Genomic DNA, 17,639 nt, shown 5'->3' on the forward strand with positions numbered 1-17,639 from the left:
TGGACGTGGGAAGCCTCCCAACAGGAAGTGAGTGTGTGAAGCATACCAACAGGAAGCGGGCCTGTGAAGCCTCCCAACAGGAAGTAGGCACGTGAAGCCTCCCAACAGGAGGTGGGTGTGTGAGGCCTCCCAATAGGAAGTGGGCATGGGAAGCCTCCCAACAGGAAGTGGGTGTGTGAAGTCTTCCCAACAGGAAGTGAGTGTGTGAAGCATCCCAGTAGGAAGCGGGCCTGTGAAGCCTCCCAACAGGAAGTAGGCACGTGAAGCCTCCCAACAGGAGGTGGGTGTGTGAGGCCTCCCAACAGGAAGTGGGCATGTGAGGCCTCCCAACAGGAAGTGGCATGTGAGGCCTTCCAACAGGAAGTGGGCGTGTGAAGCCTCCCAACAGCACCTGCGACCTGGAGGCCATCAGCACAGGGTCACCAGCCACATGGAAGTGGATGAGGAGGAGAGGGAGAAGAAAGGATGTTGAAAATGCTCAGTGGCATTACGGGAGCATTTCTGCAGATGTGTTTCCAGTCTGGAGTTTTTAGTGGGATTTCATGAGGTAAAAGGGATGAGGCTGTCCTATGAGGTCAAGATCTATGTGAAGCACCGACATATTTAAGGTTGTCCACAGGCATGGCCGGGGTGGGGTGGCTCAGAGGGCCAGGAGGGAGCACCAGTGGTGGAGGTGGACCAGCCATGCCAGATAGAAATGTCCTCAGGTGAAATAGGAAGGCATTTATGTTGGATCTCAGGCCATGGGAACTTTCAAACTTTCTAAATCCAGTCTTCAAAACCCATTCAAGCTACATCAGGTGTCTTAGGGAGCTGTGCAGAACTGTAATCCTCCAGGTAGGCAATGACGGGCATGGAAAGTGACTGAAGAAATGAGGAGGAAAGATCAGAGGGAGCGATGAAGTGGGGCAGGAACCTACCCAAACTGTGGGTAGGCTTTATGTAGAGGAGAGAGCAAGGTGGGCTACGCCTGGCCTGGGAGGATGAAGTGAGGTAGGAACCTGCCGAAATTGTGGGCAGTCTCTGTGTAGAGGAGAGTGCGAGGTGGGATATGCCTGGCCTAGGAGGATGAAGTGAGGTAGGAACCTGCCCAAACTGTGGGCAGTCTCTGTGTAGACGAGAGGGCGGGGTGGGATATGCCTGGCCTAGGAGGATGAAGTGAGGTAGGAACCTGCCCAAACTGTGGGCAGTCTCTGTGTAGAGGAGAGGGCGAGGTGGGATATGCCTGGCCTAGGAGTATGAAGTGAGGTAGGAACCTGCCCAAACTGTGGGCAGTCTCTGTGTAGACGAGAGGGCGGGGTGGGATATGCCTGGCCTAGGAGGATGAAGTGAGGTAGGAACCTGCCCAAACTGTGGGCAGTCTCTGTGTAGAGGAGAGGGCGAGGTGGGATATGCCTGGCCTAGGAGGATGAAGTGAGATAGGAACCTGCCCAAACTGTGGGCAGTCTCTGTGTAGAGGAGAGGGCGAGGTGGGATACACCTGCCCTAGGAGGATGAAGTAAGGCAGGAACCTGCTCAAATTTTGGACAGTCTCCATGTAGAGGGGAGGGTGAGATGGGGATATACCTGGCCTAGGAGGATGAAGTGAGGTAGGAACTTGCCCAAACTGTTGGCAGGCTCTGTGTAGAGGAGAGGGCGGGTGGGCTATACCTGGCCTCGGAGGAGGAGGATACAGCAGAGGAGGGTTATGCATTATGGGAAGACACAGATGCAGGTGCAGTGAATTCTGACACACACAGCTTTGCAGCATCTAGACTTTTAGTGTCTCAATCAGATTTAAACAATGGCAAATACATTGTGCACAAAAAGCTGATTTTAGATGCTGTGTTGAAACGTAGGGGATTGTATGTGAGGTGACTGAAACAGTTTGTATAATTTGAAACTCCAGCACAGAGCTAAGTTCCATCCTTTTGAAGTGATAGCCACTAATTTCCTGAGAACTAAAGCATCATTTAAATATTTAAATTAGTATTTGTGGTTTGTTTTGCCACAGTTAATCCATGTTTTGCCAGTGACTGAACACAGGCTGTTTGTAGTAACAAACTGATTTCTCCGAGGGTATTATTTTCTGGTAGATTGCATTCATAGGGATGCAGAGAGCATCCCTGTGATGTGTTGTGGATGATACGGGCAGACCCCTGCTCACTCATGCACTTGTTTACGCAGATAGAGTGTGGGGGGTAGGTGGTCTCGGAGGTGATAACCACTCTTCTTTACTCCAGCTGAAGCCCACAAAGTTTTCCGTGTTTCAGAGGTAACTATGAACTTTGAATTCTTGGGAAACAGGAGAGGTAGAGAGATTTTATTTTTTAATTCTGTGTCTGGTTCTTTTGTGGTGGTAAAAGTAGCTATTTTTGTCATATTGACAGGTGCATCTGCTGAGAAATGCTGGCGATGAAGTTACCATCACCGTTGAGTATCTCAGGGAAGCGCCGGCATTTCTGAAGCTCCCGTTAGGTAAGTGGGAAGAGGAGAAATGCCAGGGTGCTGGAGAAATTCCTTTCTTGCCACATTATTTATCCAAATGCTACCACATGGACTGGGATATTAATCATTTGCTGAGTGTACATTCAGAGAGAAGAAAAGTATAGGCAGGCACCGTGGCATCATGTAGTCCCATGACGTTGTATGTTTTAACACATCCACGGGCTTTTTTGAAGGAAGTGTTATCAGACCGTGCTTCTCGACTGTGCTTCTCGTCACTTAACTACATGCTCGTTCCTTCATGCAAACTCACCATGATTGTATTTATCTATATGTTAACGTAGAAGCAAAGTTTACACGTAAAATACCTATGTTGATCTGAGAAATTTTCAGTGCAAAAAATGAAAATAATGGTACATTTATGCTATGAAGTCCCTGACATATTTTGGCACAAAGCTTGTAATCCTCTATTATACTTGAATTGTGACCCAATATGAAAGTGATGAACCCTAAATCTAGAAAAATGTTTTAGTGAAGATAGTTGTTGTAACTTTTACTAATGTTATTCAGCTGTCATGGCTTTATAAAGGTTGGAGTCACCACCGTTCCTTTGATTTAGCAGAGGGCATCACTGCCCTCTCTTTGTGGGTAATCGGGAAAGGCCTCGAAGGCAAGGCCCAGGCTCCCCTGAAGTCAACATCTGCTGGTGGCTCAAACCCCAGGGCATCCGATGTGGAATGAGGACCTCCCGCTGAGCCGACAGTCGGGTTCCTTCTCATGGGGGCTGGTGGGCTGTCCTTCCTGTCACTCTCTCATGGGAAGGAACAGCTTCCCTCCCTGGGGGTTCATATTGACTGTTTTACTTTCTCTCTCTCTTCCATTGATGTCCCTATTGTCAATGCCTTCCTTCTCTCCTGCCCCGAGTGGCCCGGCTGTAGCTCTCAGGCACATCAGTAGTTGAGTTCTGATCATGCATTGGGTTTTTCACTGATACAGGAGGGGGGCAGGGAAGTGCTGGGAGGAGAAGGGCGGGTCCCTGGCGAGGGCTGCACCCCCAGGCCTGTGCCCATGGACCTAAGTGAGGACAGGCACTCCTGTTCTTGCACCCAAATGTTGCGTTTTCCAGTACCACCCTGGCCTACCACGCCCCCATCCTATGCCTATAACAACCCCAAGACCCTAGTGGGCAGAGACACAAGTGGCCGGATGTGGAGAAGAGCAGAGGAGCGGAAGAGTATGCTGACAGGCACCAGCAGACACTGGCAGGCTATCGACTGGCAGAATGATGTGGAGTTTGGCTGGGGTGGTTGGACGAGACTCCAGGAGAAAACCACCTTGCCACTCCATGCCCCTTCTGGCTCTCCATCCATCTTCTGAGAGCTACCAACACTCCATAAAACCTTGTGCCAACCCTCCAAGCTCACGTGGGATCTGATTCTTCTGGTATGCTAAGGCAAGAACCCCGGGATACAGAAAGCCTTCTGTCCTTGCGATAAGGCAGAGGGTCTAATTGAGCTGATTAACATAGGCCACCCACAGACAGCAGAACTGAAGCCTACAAGCCACCCACGGATGGCAGAACTGAAACCTACAGGCCGCCCACAGATGGCGGAACTGAAGCCTACAAGCCACCCACAGACGACAGAACTGAAACCAACAAGCCGCCCACAGACGGCAGAACTGAAGCCTAGAAGCCACCCACAGACGGCAGAACTGAAGCCTATAGGCCGCCCACAGACGGCAGAACTGAAGCCTACAGGCCGCCCACGGATGGCAGAACTGAAACCTACAGGCCGCCCACAGACGGCAGAACTGAAGCCTAGAAGCCGCCCACAGACGTCAGAACTGAAGCCTACAAGCCGCCCACAGACGGCAGAACTGAAGCCTAGAAGCCGCCCACAGACGGCAGAACTGAAACCTACAGGCCGCCCACAGACGGCAGAACTGAAACCTACAGGCCGCCCACAGACGGCAGAACTGAAGCCTAGAAGCCGCCCACAGACGGCAGAACTGAAGCCTACAAGCCGCCCACAGACGGCAGAACTGAAGCCTAGAAGCCGCCCACAGACGGCAGAACTGAAGCCTAGAAGCCGCCCACAGACGGCAGAACTGAAGCCTAGAAGCCGCCCACAGACGGCAGAACTGAAGCCTAGAAGCCGCCCACAGACGGCAGAACTGAAGCCTACAGGCCGCCCACAGACGGCAGAACTGAAGCCTACAGGCCGCCCACAGACGACAGAACTGAAGCCTACAGGCCGCCCACAGACGGCAGAACTGAAACCTACAGGCCGCCCACAGACGGCAGAACTGAAGCCTAGAAGCCGCCCACAGACGGCAGAACTGAAGCCTACAAGCCGCCCACAGACGGCAGAACTGAAGCCTACAGGCCGCCCACAGACGGCAGAACTGAAGCCTAGAAGCCGCCCACAGACGGCAGAACTGAAACCTACAGGCCGCCCACAGACGGCAGAACTGAAACCTACAGGCCGCCCACAGACGGCAGTACTGAAGCCTACAGGCCGCCCACAGACGGCAGAACTGAAACCTACAAGCCGCCCACAGATGGCAGAACTGAAGCCTAGAAGCTGCCCACAGACGGCAGAACTGAAGCCTACAGGCCGCCCACAGACGGCAGAACTGAAGCCTACAGGCCGCCCACAGACGGCAGAACTGAAGCCTAGAAGCCGCCCACAGACGGCAGAACTGAAGCCTACAGGCCGCCCACAGACGGCAGAACTAACAGAGCGCCCTGGAACACACTCCCACTAGGGCTTCAGGAGCTGGAAACATCCACCCCTAGATGCTGCCAGGGGTCAGAGCCCCAAAGCCGGCCCATCTCTATGGCACCCCCGCCAGAGGTTTGAGTAGTGGGGCACCGAAGAAGCGAGCCACTCCCCCATCACAAGCCCTGCAAGGGGAACAAGTGAACTTTTCCTGTTTCAGCATTTGATCAAAAGCATCATTAGACTCATAGCATGACTTCTGCTTTCATCTTCCTGAGCAACCAGGAACAAATCCATTTCAGCAACTCCATTTTTCCCATCGATCACAGCAGGATAACTATGCTATTCACAATCTTAGGAAAATCGATCTTCCTGCCATTGTAGCAAACCTGGATCAGTAAGATTCACTGCATGCCTTGCCATCCTCAGAGACCACTCCCTCTGCTAGAAGGAGCCACGGGAGCATGAATGAAGACCTAGAGGGTTCTTGAGGAAAAAGAGTAAGGGGTGCTGAGGGGCTGTGCATGAGAAAGGCGAATATTCCCAGGGCCGTAGAGGCAGAACATGTTAGCAATGGGGCAAAGGTTTAAGGGAGCGAAATGTCACACGCGGCACAGTGGTGCACCCCTGGGGTTTTGAGAAACGTTGCTGTGAGTTGGGAAGGGGGTGGACTTGAGGGCTGCACAGAAGTTCTTGGAGCCAGCAGGGAGACTCAGGTGTCAGACGCACATCAGGAGGCCCAGCAGTGAGCTCGGATGGGGGAGGAGGACTCACTTGTGAGGGGGCAGCGTGAGTGTCTGCAGATTCTGCAGCAGCTGTGACCATACAGGCTCACGAAGGAAGAAACTAAGACTTTTCATAGATTTTTGCCAGAAAGAAAAGAAGAGAAGATAGTGGCTTGGACAGGAGGAGGTGGCATTGATAAAGGAGGAGACAGACAGAAAGCAGGGGGTGCTTTCGGATGTTGCTAAGTGGGGGTGGGAGGCAGAGGACACTCACCCTGGGGCCGTTCCTGACTTCTCTCTCAGGCAAGGTGACTTCACAGGCCGAGTGAGATGGGTGCTGCGTCTAAGCCAGCTTCCCTGGGTGCCTTTGAAGGAGCAGAATTTAAGCAACAGCAGCAGCAACACTGCAACACCAGATGGCAGAGGAAGTGCCCCAGGTGGAGGTTTTCACCGTGAGCCCCTGCCTAGAGCCCCATAGCACTGAGCCTGTGTTTCCCTCTGAGGATGGGCAGCTCTTGCAATTCTAGTGCCTGAGCCTGTGGGGCCGGAGGCTGTCTCTGTTGAGATTCACATCCTGACTTCTGTCCGTGGGCTCCACTAAAACCTGCAGGCTCCGGGGTCCATTGCCAGTCACATAGTGACTTCAATGAGCGTTGCTGCCGGCATCCTGAGCGGGGCTGTGCTGACTCTGATGGCTCTGCCTGGACAGGCCCAGCTACACGGACCACCCCACACGTCCTCGGGCACATGCAGGAAAGGGCAGCCTGGGGTGCAGATCACAGAGGCCAGGGGTGCTGAGTCCCCATTAATTCAATAAGTGTCTATTCTCCTTTTATTTCATTCTTTACAGTGAAAAATGTTAAAATCTTAGTATCCATAACAATTTAAGCAAGACAGCCATAATCTCTCTATAAATTCAGGCGAAACGTCCTCTGCTGAATTCACACCGTGAAGGTAAAATTGCTGTGCCTGAGCAGACTTCACTTTCTGACTGCATGAAGCAGAAATCCACCGAGCAGCTCCAGTGAGTGGGGAAAGAGAGTATCACGGCAGATCTGTGCGGAAAATGTCCAGTTTCCACATTTTAAAACGTTTATCAAAGAGAAAATAAACAACCGTTTGAGACTGAGTCAAAGTAGGGTTTTATTTTTCACAAGTCAGGCTCTTGGTCTTTTTATAAAGATACAATTCATGCAACAGAAAATTCACCGTTTTAAAGTAACACTTCAGCAGTTTTAAATATTTCACTACGTTGTAGAGGCATTGCTACTGTCTAATTCCAAAACATTTCCCTCATCCCAAAAATAAACCCTGTGCCAGTTAGTCAGCCCGGACTCTCCCCACCCCAGCCCTCGGCAGCCGGGAATTTCCTTCCTGTCTCTTTGTGGGTAATCAGGAAGGGCCTTGAAGGCCAGGCCCAGGCTCCCCTGAAGTCAACATCTGCTGGTGGCTCAAACCCCGTGGCATCCGACCTGGAATGAGGATCTCCGTCTGCGCCGGACGTTTTCTGTAATGGAATCCCGCACAAAGATGCCTTTGTGTCTGGCATCTTCCCCCAGTGTAGTTTCAGAGTCCGCCCCCAATGTCGCGGGCATCGGTGCTGCATTCTCTTAGCTGAACAGCATCCGTCCTAGGGAATATATCTGTGTATACGGACCCATGTACATACCCTTTGTATGGGTTTTGTTTATCCATTCATCAGCTGATGGGCATTTGTCTTGCTTCTGTTTGGGGGATATTGTGAATTATACCACCATGAGCATCCGTGAATGCGTTTTTCTTGGGAGATGTTTTCCTTCCCACCGAGTGGATGCCGACTACTGGAATTGCTGGGTCCTCTGGTGACTCTAGGCTCAACTTTTTGAGTGGCTGCCAAATTATTTTCCACAGCAGCCGCACCATTTTACATTCCAACCAGCATTGCCTGAGGGTAATCTAAGCAGTTTTGATAGGTTAGGGTTAATTTTTTTTAAGATTAGGTGTTTTAATAAACATTGATCATATACTACATGTTTTCTAATATGATTGTTTATTTTTGACACCTAATAAAAATAAACTAAGTCTATTTTTCTCATTAAGAATTCTTGATATTGGGTTTTAAAAAATAATGGACTTTTATTTGTGATAGAAGAAAGATATAACTATTCACATTTCTGTTCTGGGATATGGATGACAAGATACCTATTCATCAGAAATAAATTTATAGAAATTTAGAGTGGAAGCGTGACTGTCAAATGTAAATTTATTGACTATTTACCTGTTAGCTCATTCAGTCAATGGTGGCTTGGATCTGCTGCCATTAGTCATGTGTCTCCTTTGTCTATAGCATGAACTTTGGGATTTTGGAAGACTGCAGTCATTAAAAATATTTTGATTTTCCTCTCCAATTACTGATAAGGTGATTACGGGTATAAAATAACAGGCATTGGGAAAGAATTTCAAATAGATAACAGTGAAATGTGCTTCTGAACGCTAAAGGGCAGATTCAGGTGCTGTCTCAACAACCCTGTGAAACGCTCTGGGTGCTGTGTGGAGCAGTGGCTGGTCCACAGCAGAGTCTTCACCAGACAGTAAACAGTGGTCAATGAAAAAGAAAAGTTCTTCATCTAGTAAAATTGACAACTACCCTTTAAAAGTTAAGCAATTCTTATTTCCCCCAGAGTTCTCCAAGTTTCTCAATATCTTAATTTTCACAAAGGAATATGGTATGAAGTGTTTTCTAAAAATATGAGTCTTTGTAGATATTATACAGCTGGACAAAGGGTAACAGCGAGCCATGGTAACTCGCTGAACGTTGCACATCACATTTGCAGAGGCAGATTGGAGGTTAGAGGGTCTTGAGCCTCCAAGCCATATCGCATTCCTGTCTGCACCAAGCGAGGCTGGTGGTCACATTATGACTTTGCATATGTGGTGCCGATTGTTCTTCACTTTAATCCCAGGAAATAGACGGCACAACAGGGCATCCCAAATACAAATGCATGGAGTTGTGTCCACCAGGCTTTCTTCAGCTTCACAGGGGTCTTTCCTGCAAGAAGCCAGTGTGCAAGTTCAAGCCTCCATTCTGCAACAGCACCATGTGGTTGTGATGATTGATGGCTGGCTGGTGACAGGTCCTCCTGCTAGTGCTGTTCTCAGTGCTTCTTTCCTCTTTCCAGGCACTCAGGTGATCTAACAACAGGGCCTGCTCTCCACTCAGGGATGCATCAAAGGCTCCTTTCTCAGTGTTGGGAGGTCTCTGTTCCACCTGGCTGGGAATCTGGCATAGTCAGGCTGCTGTGTTCACAGATCTGTCTTTACGTGGCAATACCACAAAAATGCTGGGCTAAAACACTAAGCCACATGGGAGCTGCCCACTCTTATAGTCCAGCCTGAAGATATTGGTGGGAAGGGACAATAAAGGAACAAATACAGCCTTTCTCCCTGAGCTGTTCCCAGGACCTTGGAAACGGCATGAAAGTGCTCTATGTCCCCTGGGTAATCCATGGAGCATGAAGATCTATGAACTGGCTTGTTTCTGTTTAGCAGGTGTAAGCTCTGGTTGCATGAGCCTGTATTTCCAGGGAAATTATTTTATGAGCACCTGTTTTACCTGTAATGTGCTAAGTGCTTTGAGTGTGAGCTTTTCAATATTGTCTCTGGAAAAAACCTTTTGAGTGGCCTGGTATGATCATCTCCTTTCAAAAGAGAACACTGCAATCACAGAAGGCGCCTTGTGCTGACCATTCCAGGGGGTCATGTTGACAGGGAGGGCCTGAGCTGCTGGGGGCACACCTTCCTGATGCTGTCCCTCCACCCTGGGGAGCCCTCACAGGAGCCGGCAGTGGTCCCTCCCTTCAACCTGAGGTCAGATCTTGGTGAGGAGACCATATCACAGCAGGAAAGTGAGAGGCCATTGGGGATGACCCAGCCCATAACTGGACACCAGGCATTTTGGTGCTGGTAACTTCCCATGCACAGGTAGAACTGAAGTCACTGCATGGTCACAGTGTGCTTTGTCAGTGGCACCAATTGGAAGGGACTTCTCTTGTTTTGCTGCAGGGTCCCCAGGGCCATCCAGCGACCACAGCAGTGGGGCCTCCTCTCCCCTCTTTGACAGCGGTTTGCATCTGAACGGAAACTCCAGTACCACAGTAAGCATATAGATTTTTGTTAAATTTTATTTTAACAGAAATATCAGTAGCCCAGAGATAATCTCTAGACAGAATTAAAAAGATGCTGTACTGCCCAGTGAAGATAATTGTGTTAGTTTCAGAGGAAATACTTAGAACACAGATTGAAGGTGCTGTTCTGTTGACATTTACTCCCACGTGGGACACATCCTGATTGCATTATAGGATATTTTAAGTTCATAATTCACAGCATCTCAGTGAGCAGGCAAGAATTCTTTGAGTCCTGCCTCTGACTTACATATCACCGTGACTGTAGGAAGGACTGCAGGTTATTTTTAGGAAACTTCTGTGAGACTCCCATGAATTTCTTAACAGAAAACACCTAAGGAGGTATGAACACTGTATAATGCAGTGAGTTTTAATCACATTCTAAATATCCACCCTCCCAAGAAAACCAGACTTGAGCAAAAAGGAGAACCTGCAGCTCCCTGGGACATGGGGCTCCCGCCCTCCTCCCTCAGAAGCCTGGGCTCTGAGAGAACCTGTAGCTCCCTGGGGCATGGGGCTCACACTCTCCTTCCTCAGAAGCCTGGGCTCTGAGAGAACCTGCAGCTCCCTGGGACACAGGGCTCACGCCCTCCTCTCTCAGAAGCCTGGGCTCCAACTCCCGCAGGGTGACCTGTGAGCTGCGCCCCTTGGGGAATTCATCATCCACAGAGGCATTAGTGCACGAGAAATGTAGAATCCTGTAAGCAGTTTGAAAAAATGTTTTATTATAAATCATTCCAGTCAAATCATCAAAATGACTGGATACTTCATACACAGGGAGAACCTAGAGAAAAATATTCATGTTTGTACAATCTATGTTTAAGATGTCTGACTACTCCATTTCTAACCATTTAATTGAGCTCCTGAAATTAAAAATTGCATTTAGACTCTGTGTCAGTTATGAAGCAAAATAATAAAACAAATGCCCATGAAATTGCAGTTCTAAGCAATAATTAGAATATTGTCCCTAGCTTTCCATCTGTGCAGTCTTCCATACTCCATTTTCTGGCCTGCCCAGAGATATAAGGCATCCTGAATTTTGTGTTTGTCATTTTCTTGATTGAAAAAAAGTTTTATCCATATATATATATATATATATGTAAAATTTCATTTTATTGCAAGGCTTATAAAATATTATTCTTCCATAGTCTTCTGAGATTTGCATGTTTACTTACTGTTTGTTTCTGTGAGGTTTTTTGCTGTATGATATTTCACTACAGTTTATCCATTGTCAGTTGCCTGTGGACACTTTGCCTTTGTTTTATGTTTGTTTTTCTAGTTTATCATCATTAAAAGAGGTGCAGCCATAAAGATACTTATAAATGTCTCTTGGCTATTCCATAAGGTAGAATTTCTGAGTGCTAGATTATACCAGGATGTTCTATTTTCAAAATAACAGCAAGTTTTCTACAAAAGTGGCTGTGCAGTTTATATTCACACAGCTCTGGGAAATTCCAGTTGAGCCACAGCCTCTCCAGTGCTAGGTAATTTTTGACTTAATATTTGAAGTACAGTAGCTGTAAAATGGTTCTCTCTCTGGGGCTCTATTTCATTTCCATCATTACTAATGAGTTTTGTTTACTGTTTCTATTTGTATTTTCCTTTGGTTTTTCCTCTTCTGTGAAATGCTGTTTATCTCTTTGGCACATTTACTGTTAAGGTGATCTTTTTTCTTACAAATCCATTGAAATGTTTAATATACACTTGGTAATAATATTTTGGTGGTAATGGGTTAAAAATCTCTTCCTACAGCTTATAACTTGGCTTTTTCATTTTGTTTGTGCTATCTTCTGTGGTTTTGTGGTTTTAGGATTTTGTTCAAGAAATCTTTCTTATCTTAAGTTCATAAAGACACTTCCTTATATTTTCCTCTAAATATTGTTAACGTTTGCTTTTCACATTAGATCTCTAAATCCCATGAGATCTGCTTTTATTAAAGCTGTGAAAGGTAGAGTTCCAGGTGCATTTTTATGGGTAACCAGTTGTCTCAACACTATTTCTGGGTAATCTGCACTGCCACGGCTCACAAGTAACCAGCACCATGAGCGCAGGCGTGTGCTGCTGAGACCTCTGTTGTATTCTATTGGTCAATATCAATGGCAATATCACACTATGTAATTACTAGGTATTTATAATCAATTTGTGTCATCTGTAGGCCTTGCCCTCTTGCCACCTCCTAACTCACTCTATTTTTTCCATCCTCTCTCTTTGTTTTTTCTTGTGAATTTCAATAGCTCTTGATCCAGTTCTACAAAAAACAGTGTTGGGATTTTGACTGTAATTGCCAGATTTACTGGGGAGAATCAAACCTTTCTGACTCACCTTTCCTGCTTATGGAAAGCATATTTATTTGTGCTATCTTTGAATTAATGCTGCTCCATTTCTTTCCATATTATTTAATATTTTCCTACAGAGTCTTTTTAAAATTAATTTTACAAGAGGATTGTACAATTCCATTTGTCTGCAACACCCTGTCCCCCAAGCCAGCACAGTTCAGCAGGGAGAAACTGTCCTCCTACCCTTTCTGTGCAGTTATCCTCAGGGTTTTTCTCCCATTGTGTGGCTGTAGCTTGTTGAGTGGACTCTAAACTCTTCCTGGAAGGAGACACAGAGCATGGGGCATGATTCGGTGCCATTTCAGGAAAGGTCAGACAGTCTTTGTGGCTCTGGTAAGTGCAGTGGAAAAGTAACACGACAGTATCGTTGAAGGGAGGCTGCCTGGTTCTCCTGGTTCTCCCAGTTCTCCTGGTTCTCCCAGCTCTCCTGGTTCTTCAGGCTTTGGTGGATGTGATCCTCATGTCAAGGAGTAATTGTGGAATTATGGAGGGGACATGGGTAGAGTGACTAGCCTAATGCTTGGAATATGTCATCTTCAGACATCCTCATCCTCCTTATCAGCAAGAGAAAGAGAAAAAGAAGTGCTAACCTTAAAATTCTTTGTAGTTATTCATATGGTTAGCTCAGCTCCAGAATAAAGCATCATCAGGTTATTTAAACTCATTACAGGGAATCTGAATTGCAGAGTTTAAAAATAGCTTTAATATGTTCGTTTTAGAAGGCTATCAAGACTCAATATTGAGACCTACCTGAGGGTGAAGGGTGGGAGGAGGGAGAGGATCAGAAAAAATAACTATTGAGTATTAGGATTAATACCTGGGTAAAGAAATAACCTGTATAACAAGCCCCCATAACACAAGTTTACCTATATAACAAACCTGCACATGTACCCCTGAACCTAAAATAAAGTTTGTTTTTATTTTAAATAAAAACTTAAACAAAAGTTGACAAATGGGATCTAATTAAAGAGCTTCTGCACAGCAAAAACAACTATCATCAGAGTGAACAGGCAAGTTACAAAGTGGGAGACAATTTTTGCAATCTATCTGTCTGACAAAGGTCTAATATCCAGAATCTACAAGGAACTAAAACAAATTTACAAGAAAAAAAAAAACATTAAATGTGGGCAAAGGACACGAACAGATACTTCTCAAAAGAAGACATTCATGTGGCCAACAAGCAGATGAAGAAAGGCTCATCATCACTGATCCCCAGAGAAATGCAAATCAAAACCACAATGAGATACCATCTCAGGCCAGTCAGAATGGTGATCATTAAAAAGTCAGATGATGTCGAGGTTGCAGAGAAATAGGAACACTTTTTCACTGTTGGTGGGAATGTAAATTCATTCAACCATTGTGGAAGACGGTGTGGTGATTCCTCAAAGGTCTAGAACCAGAAATACCATTTGACTTAGCAATCCTATTACTGGGTATATACCCAAAGGAATGCAAATTATTCTATTACAATAATACATGCATGTGTATATTAATTGCAGCACTATTCACAATTGTAAACACATAGATCAACCCAAATGCCCATCAATGATAGACTTGATAAAGGAAATGTGGTAGAGATACACCATGGAATACTATGCAGCCATAAAAAGGAGCAAGACTATGTCCTTTGCAGGGACATGGATGAAGCTGGAAGCCATTATCCTCAGCAAAATAAGGCAGGAACAGAAAAGCAAACACCACATATTCTCACTTATAAGTGGGAACTGAACTATGAGAACACATGGAGGGGAACAGCACACACTGGGGCCCGGCAAGGGGTGGGGGCCATGGTGGGAGGGAGAGCATCAAGAAAAAATAGCTAATGGATGCTGGGCTTAATACCTAGGTGATGGGTTGATAGGTGCAGCAAACCACCATGGCACACGTTTACCAATGTAACAAACCTGCACATCCTGCAGATGTACTCTGGAACTTAAAAATAAAAATTAAAAAAAAAAAACTTTAAAAGGAACCAGAAGTTAAAAAGAAAATGATAGTAAAATTGACAACTTCTTTCTCAACAAAAACAAGAGAAGCTAGAGGAAATGAAATGACACCTTTGAAGTATGAAAAAGAAATTAATTCCTGTTTAAAATTCTATAATACCCAGCAAACGTGCTTCAAAAGAAAAAAATAATATATTTTCTGACAAAAAAGAGATAATTATTTCCAGTAGACCAGCACTTTAAATTTATTTTTTTTGAAAAGGAAACTAAGCATACCCACATAGCCCTTAAAGTTGACATGCACTTCTTGAGGTGATAAAAGGTTATTGGCACACTGCTGAATGAAAACAACATTTAAATAATTTCTTTTATATTAATTTGTCATAAAAGATTAGCAGTGATTGCATCTGTTGTTAAATATGAGATAATTTTTATATTAGCCAGACTACTGTATTGTTGGAATTTGGGACAATAAACACTTATCATTTTGTTGTTGTTCTTTAAAATATTTTTAATTATATGATAAACACTTCTGGCATGATATCAAGGGAAAAATACATAGATGAAAATTTTTTAAAAGACTCAAAATCCTGTAAGAATTTTGAGGCATGCTAGTTGGTTTTCTGGATGGTACTTTAATCATGTAAAAGCCAATTTGCTGTGCAGTGAGTTGACCATTGGGCTCTCTCTTGTAGAGACGATTTAAAGCATTGTGACAATGGGGTTTTCTAGATATACAATCCTGTCATCTTCAAACAGGGACAATTTGACTTCCTCTTTTCCTAATTGAATACCCTTTATTTCCTTCTCCTGCCTGATTGCCCTGGCCAGAACTTCCAACACTATGTTGAATAGGAGTGGTGAGAGAGGACATCTCTGTCTTGTGCCAGTTTTCAAAGGGAATGCTTCCAGTTTTTGCCCATTCAGTATGATATTGGCTGTGGGTTTGTCATAGATAGCTCTTATTATTTTGAGATATGTCCCATCAATACCTAATTTATTGAGAGTTTTTAGCATGAAGGGTTGTTGAATTTTGTCAAAGGCCTTTTCTGCATCTATTGAGATAATCATGTGGTTTTTGTCATTGGTTATATTTATGTGATGGATTATGTTCATTGATTTGCGTATGTTGAACCAGGCTTGCATCCCAGGGATGAAGCCCACTTGATCATGGTGGATAAGCTTTTTGATGTGCTGCTGGATTCAGTTTGCCAGTATTTTATTGAGGATTTTTGCATCAATGTTCATCAAGGATATTGGTCTAAAATTCTCTTTTTTTGTTGTGTCTCTGCCAGGCTTTGGTATCAGGATGATGCTGGCCTCATAAAATGAGTTAGGGAGGATTCCCTCTTTTTGTATTGACTGGAATAGTTTCAGAAGGAATGGTACCAGCTCCTCCTTGTACCTCTGGTAGAATTCAGCTTTGAATCCATCTGGTCCTGGACTCTTTTTGGTTGGTAAGCTATTGATTATTGCCACAATTTCAGATCCTGTTATTGGTCTATTCAGAGATTCAACTTCTTCCTGGTTTAGTCTTGGGAGGGTGTATGTGTCGAGGAATTTATCCATTTCTTCTAGATTTTCTAGTTTATTTGCATAGAGGTGTTTGTAGTATTCTTTGATGGTAGTTTGCATTTCTGTGGGATCGGTGGTGATATCCCTTTTATCATTTTTTATTGCATCTATTTGATTCTTCTCTCTTTTCTTCTTTATTAGTCTTGCTAGCGGTCTATCAATTTTGTTGATCCTTTCAAAAAACCAGCTCCTGGATTAATTAATTTTTTGAAGGGTTTTTTGTGTCTCTATTTCCTTCAGTTCTGCTCTGATTTTAGTTAGCCCAAAATCTCCTTAAGCTGATAAGCAACTTCAGCAAAGTCTCAGGATACAAAATCAATGTGCAAAAATCACAAGCATTCTTATACACCAATAACAGACAAACAGGGAGCCAAATCATGAGTGAACTCCCATTCACAATTGCTTCAAAGAGAATAAAATACCTAGGAATCCAACTTACAAGGGATGTGAAGGACCTCTTCAAGGAGAACTACAAACCACTACTCAATGAAATAAAAGAGGATACAAACAAATGGAAGAACATTCCATGCTCATGGGTAGGAAGAATCAATATCGTGAAAATGACCATACTGCCCAAGGTAATTTATAGATTCAGTGCCATCCCCATGAAGCTACCAATGACTTTCTTCACAGAATTGGAAAAAACTACTTTAAAGTTCATATGGAACCAAAAAAGAGCCTGCATCGCCAAGTCAGTCCTAAGCCAAAAGAACAAAGCTGGAGGCATCACGCTACCTGACTTCAAACTATACTACAAGGCTACAGTAACCAAAACAGCATGGTACTGGTACCAAAACAGAGATATAGATCAATGGAACAGAACAGAGCCCTCAGAAATAATGCCGTGTATCTACAACTATCTGATCTTTGACAAACCTGAGAAAAACAAGCAATGGGGAAAGGATTCCCTATTTAATAAATGGTGCTGGGAAAACTGGCTAGCCATATGTAGAAAGCTGAAACTGGATCCCTTCCTTACACCTTATACAAAAATTAATTCAAGATGGATTAAAGACTTAAACATTAGACCTAAAACCATAAAAACCCTAGAAGAAAACCTAGGCATTACCATTCAGGACATAGGCATGGGCAAGGACTTCATGTCTAAAACACCAAAAGCAATGGCAACAAAAGCCAAAATTGACAAATGGGATCTAATTAAACTAAAGAGCTTCTGCACAGCAAAAGAAACTACCATCAGAGTGAACAGGCAACCTACAGAATGGGAGAAAATTTTTGCAACCTACTCATCTGACAAAAGGCTAATATCCAGAATCTACAATGAACTCAAACAAATTTACAAGAAAAAAACAAACAACCCCATCAAAAAGTGGGCAAAGGACATGAACAGACACTTCTCAAAAGAAGACATTTATGCAGCCAAAAAACACATGAAAAAATGCTCATCATCACTGGCCATCAGAGAAATGCAAATCAAAACCACATTGAGATACCATCTCACACCAGTTAGAATGGCAAACATTGAAAAGTCAGGAAACAACAGGTTCTGGAGAGGATGTGGAGAAATAGGAACACTTTTACACTGTTGATGGGACTGTAAACTAGTTCAACCATTGTGGAAGTCAGTGTGGCGATTCCTCAGGGATCTAGAACTAGAAATACCATTTGACCCAGCCATCCCATTACTGGGTATATACCCAAAGGATTATAAATCATGCTGCTATAAAGACACATGCACACGTATGTTTATTGTGGCACTATTCACAATAGCGAAGACTTGGAACCAACC

At 44.8% G+C, this 17,639-nt stretch overlaps 1 protein-coding gene across 16 annotated transcripts in view; it reads left to right on the plus strand.

Annotated features, from left to right (window-relative positions):
- The window catches only part of SNTG2 (syntrophin gamma 2), a 416,765-nt gene that overhangs the window by 212,330 nt on the left and 186,796 nt on the right, over nucleotides 1-17,639 (plus strand). For all 16 annotated transcript variants that reach the window (NM_018968.4, XM_047444795.1, XM_017004374.1 and 13 more), the window contains 2 exons: nucleotides 2,370-2,457; nucleotides 9,914-10,005. In NM_018968.4, the coding sequence (NP_061841.2) occupies nucleotides 2,370-2,457; nucleotides 9,914-10,005 (180 nt within the window). The remainder of the gene's footprint in view (nucleotides 1-2,369; nucleotides 2,458-9,913; nucleotides 10,006-17,639) is intronic.

This window comes from Homo sapiens, chromosome 2, assembly GCF_000001405.40.
Source record: "Homo sapiens chromosome 2, GRCh38.p14 Primary Assembly".
Lineage (NCBI taxonomy): Eukaryota > Metazoa > Chordata > Mammalia > Primates > Hominidae > Homo > Homo sapiens.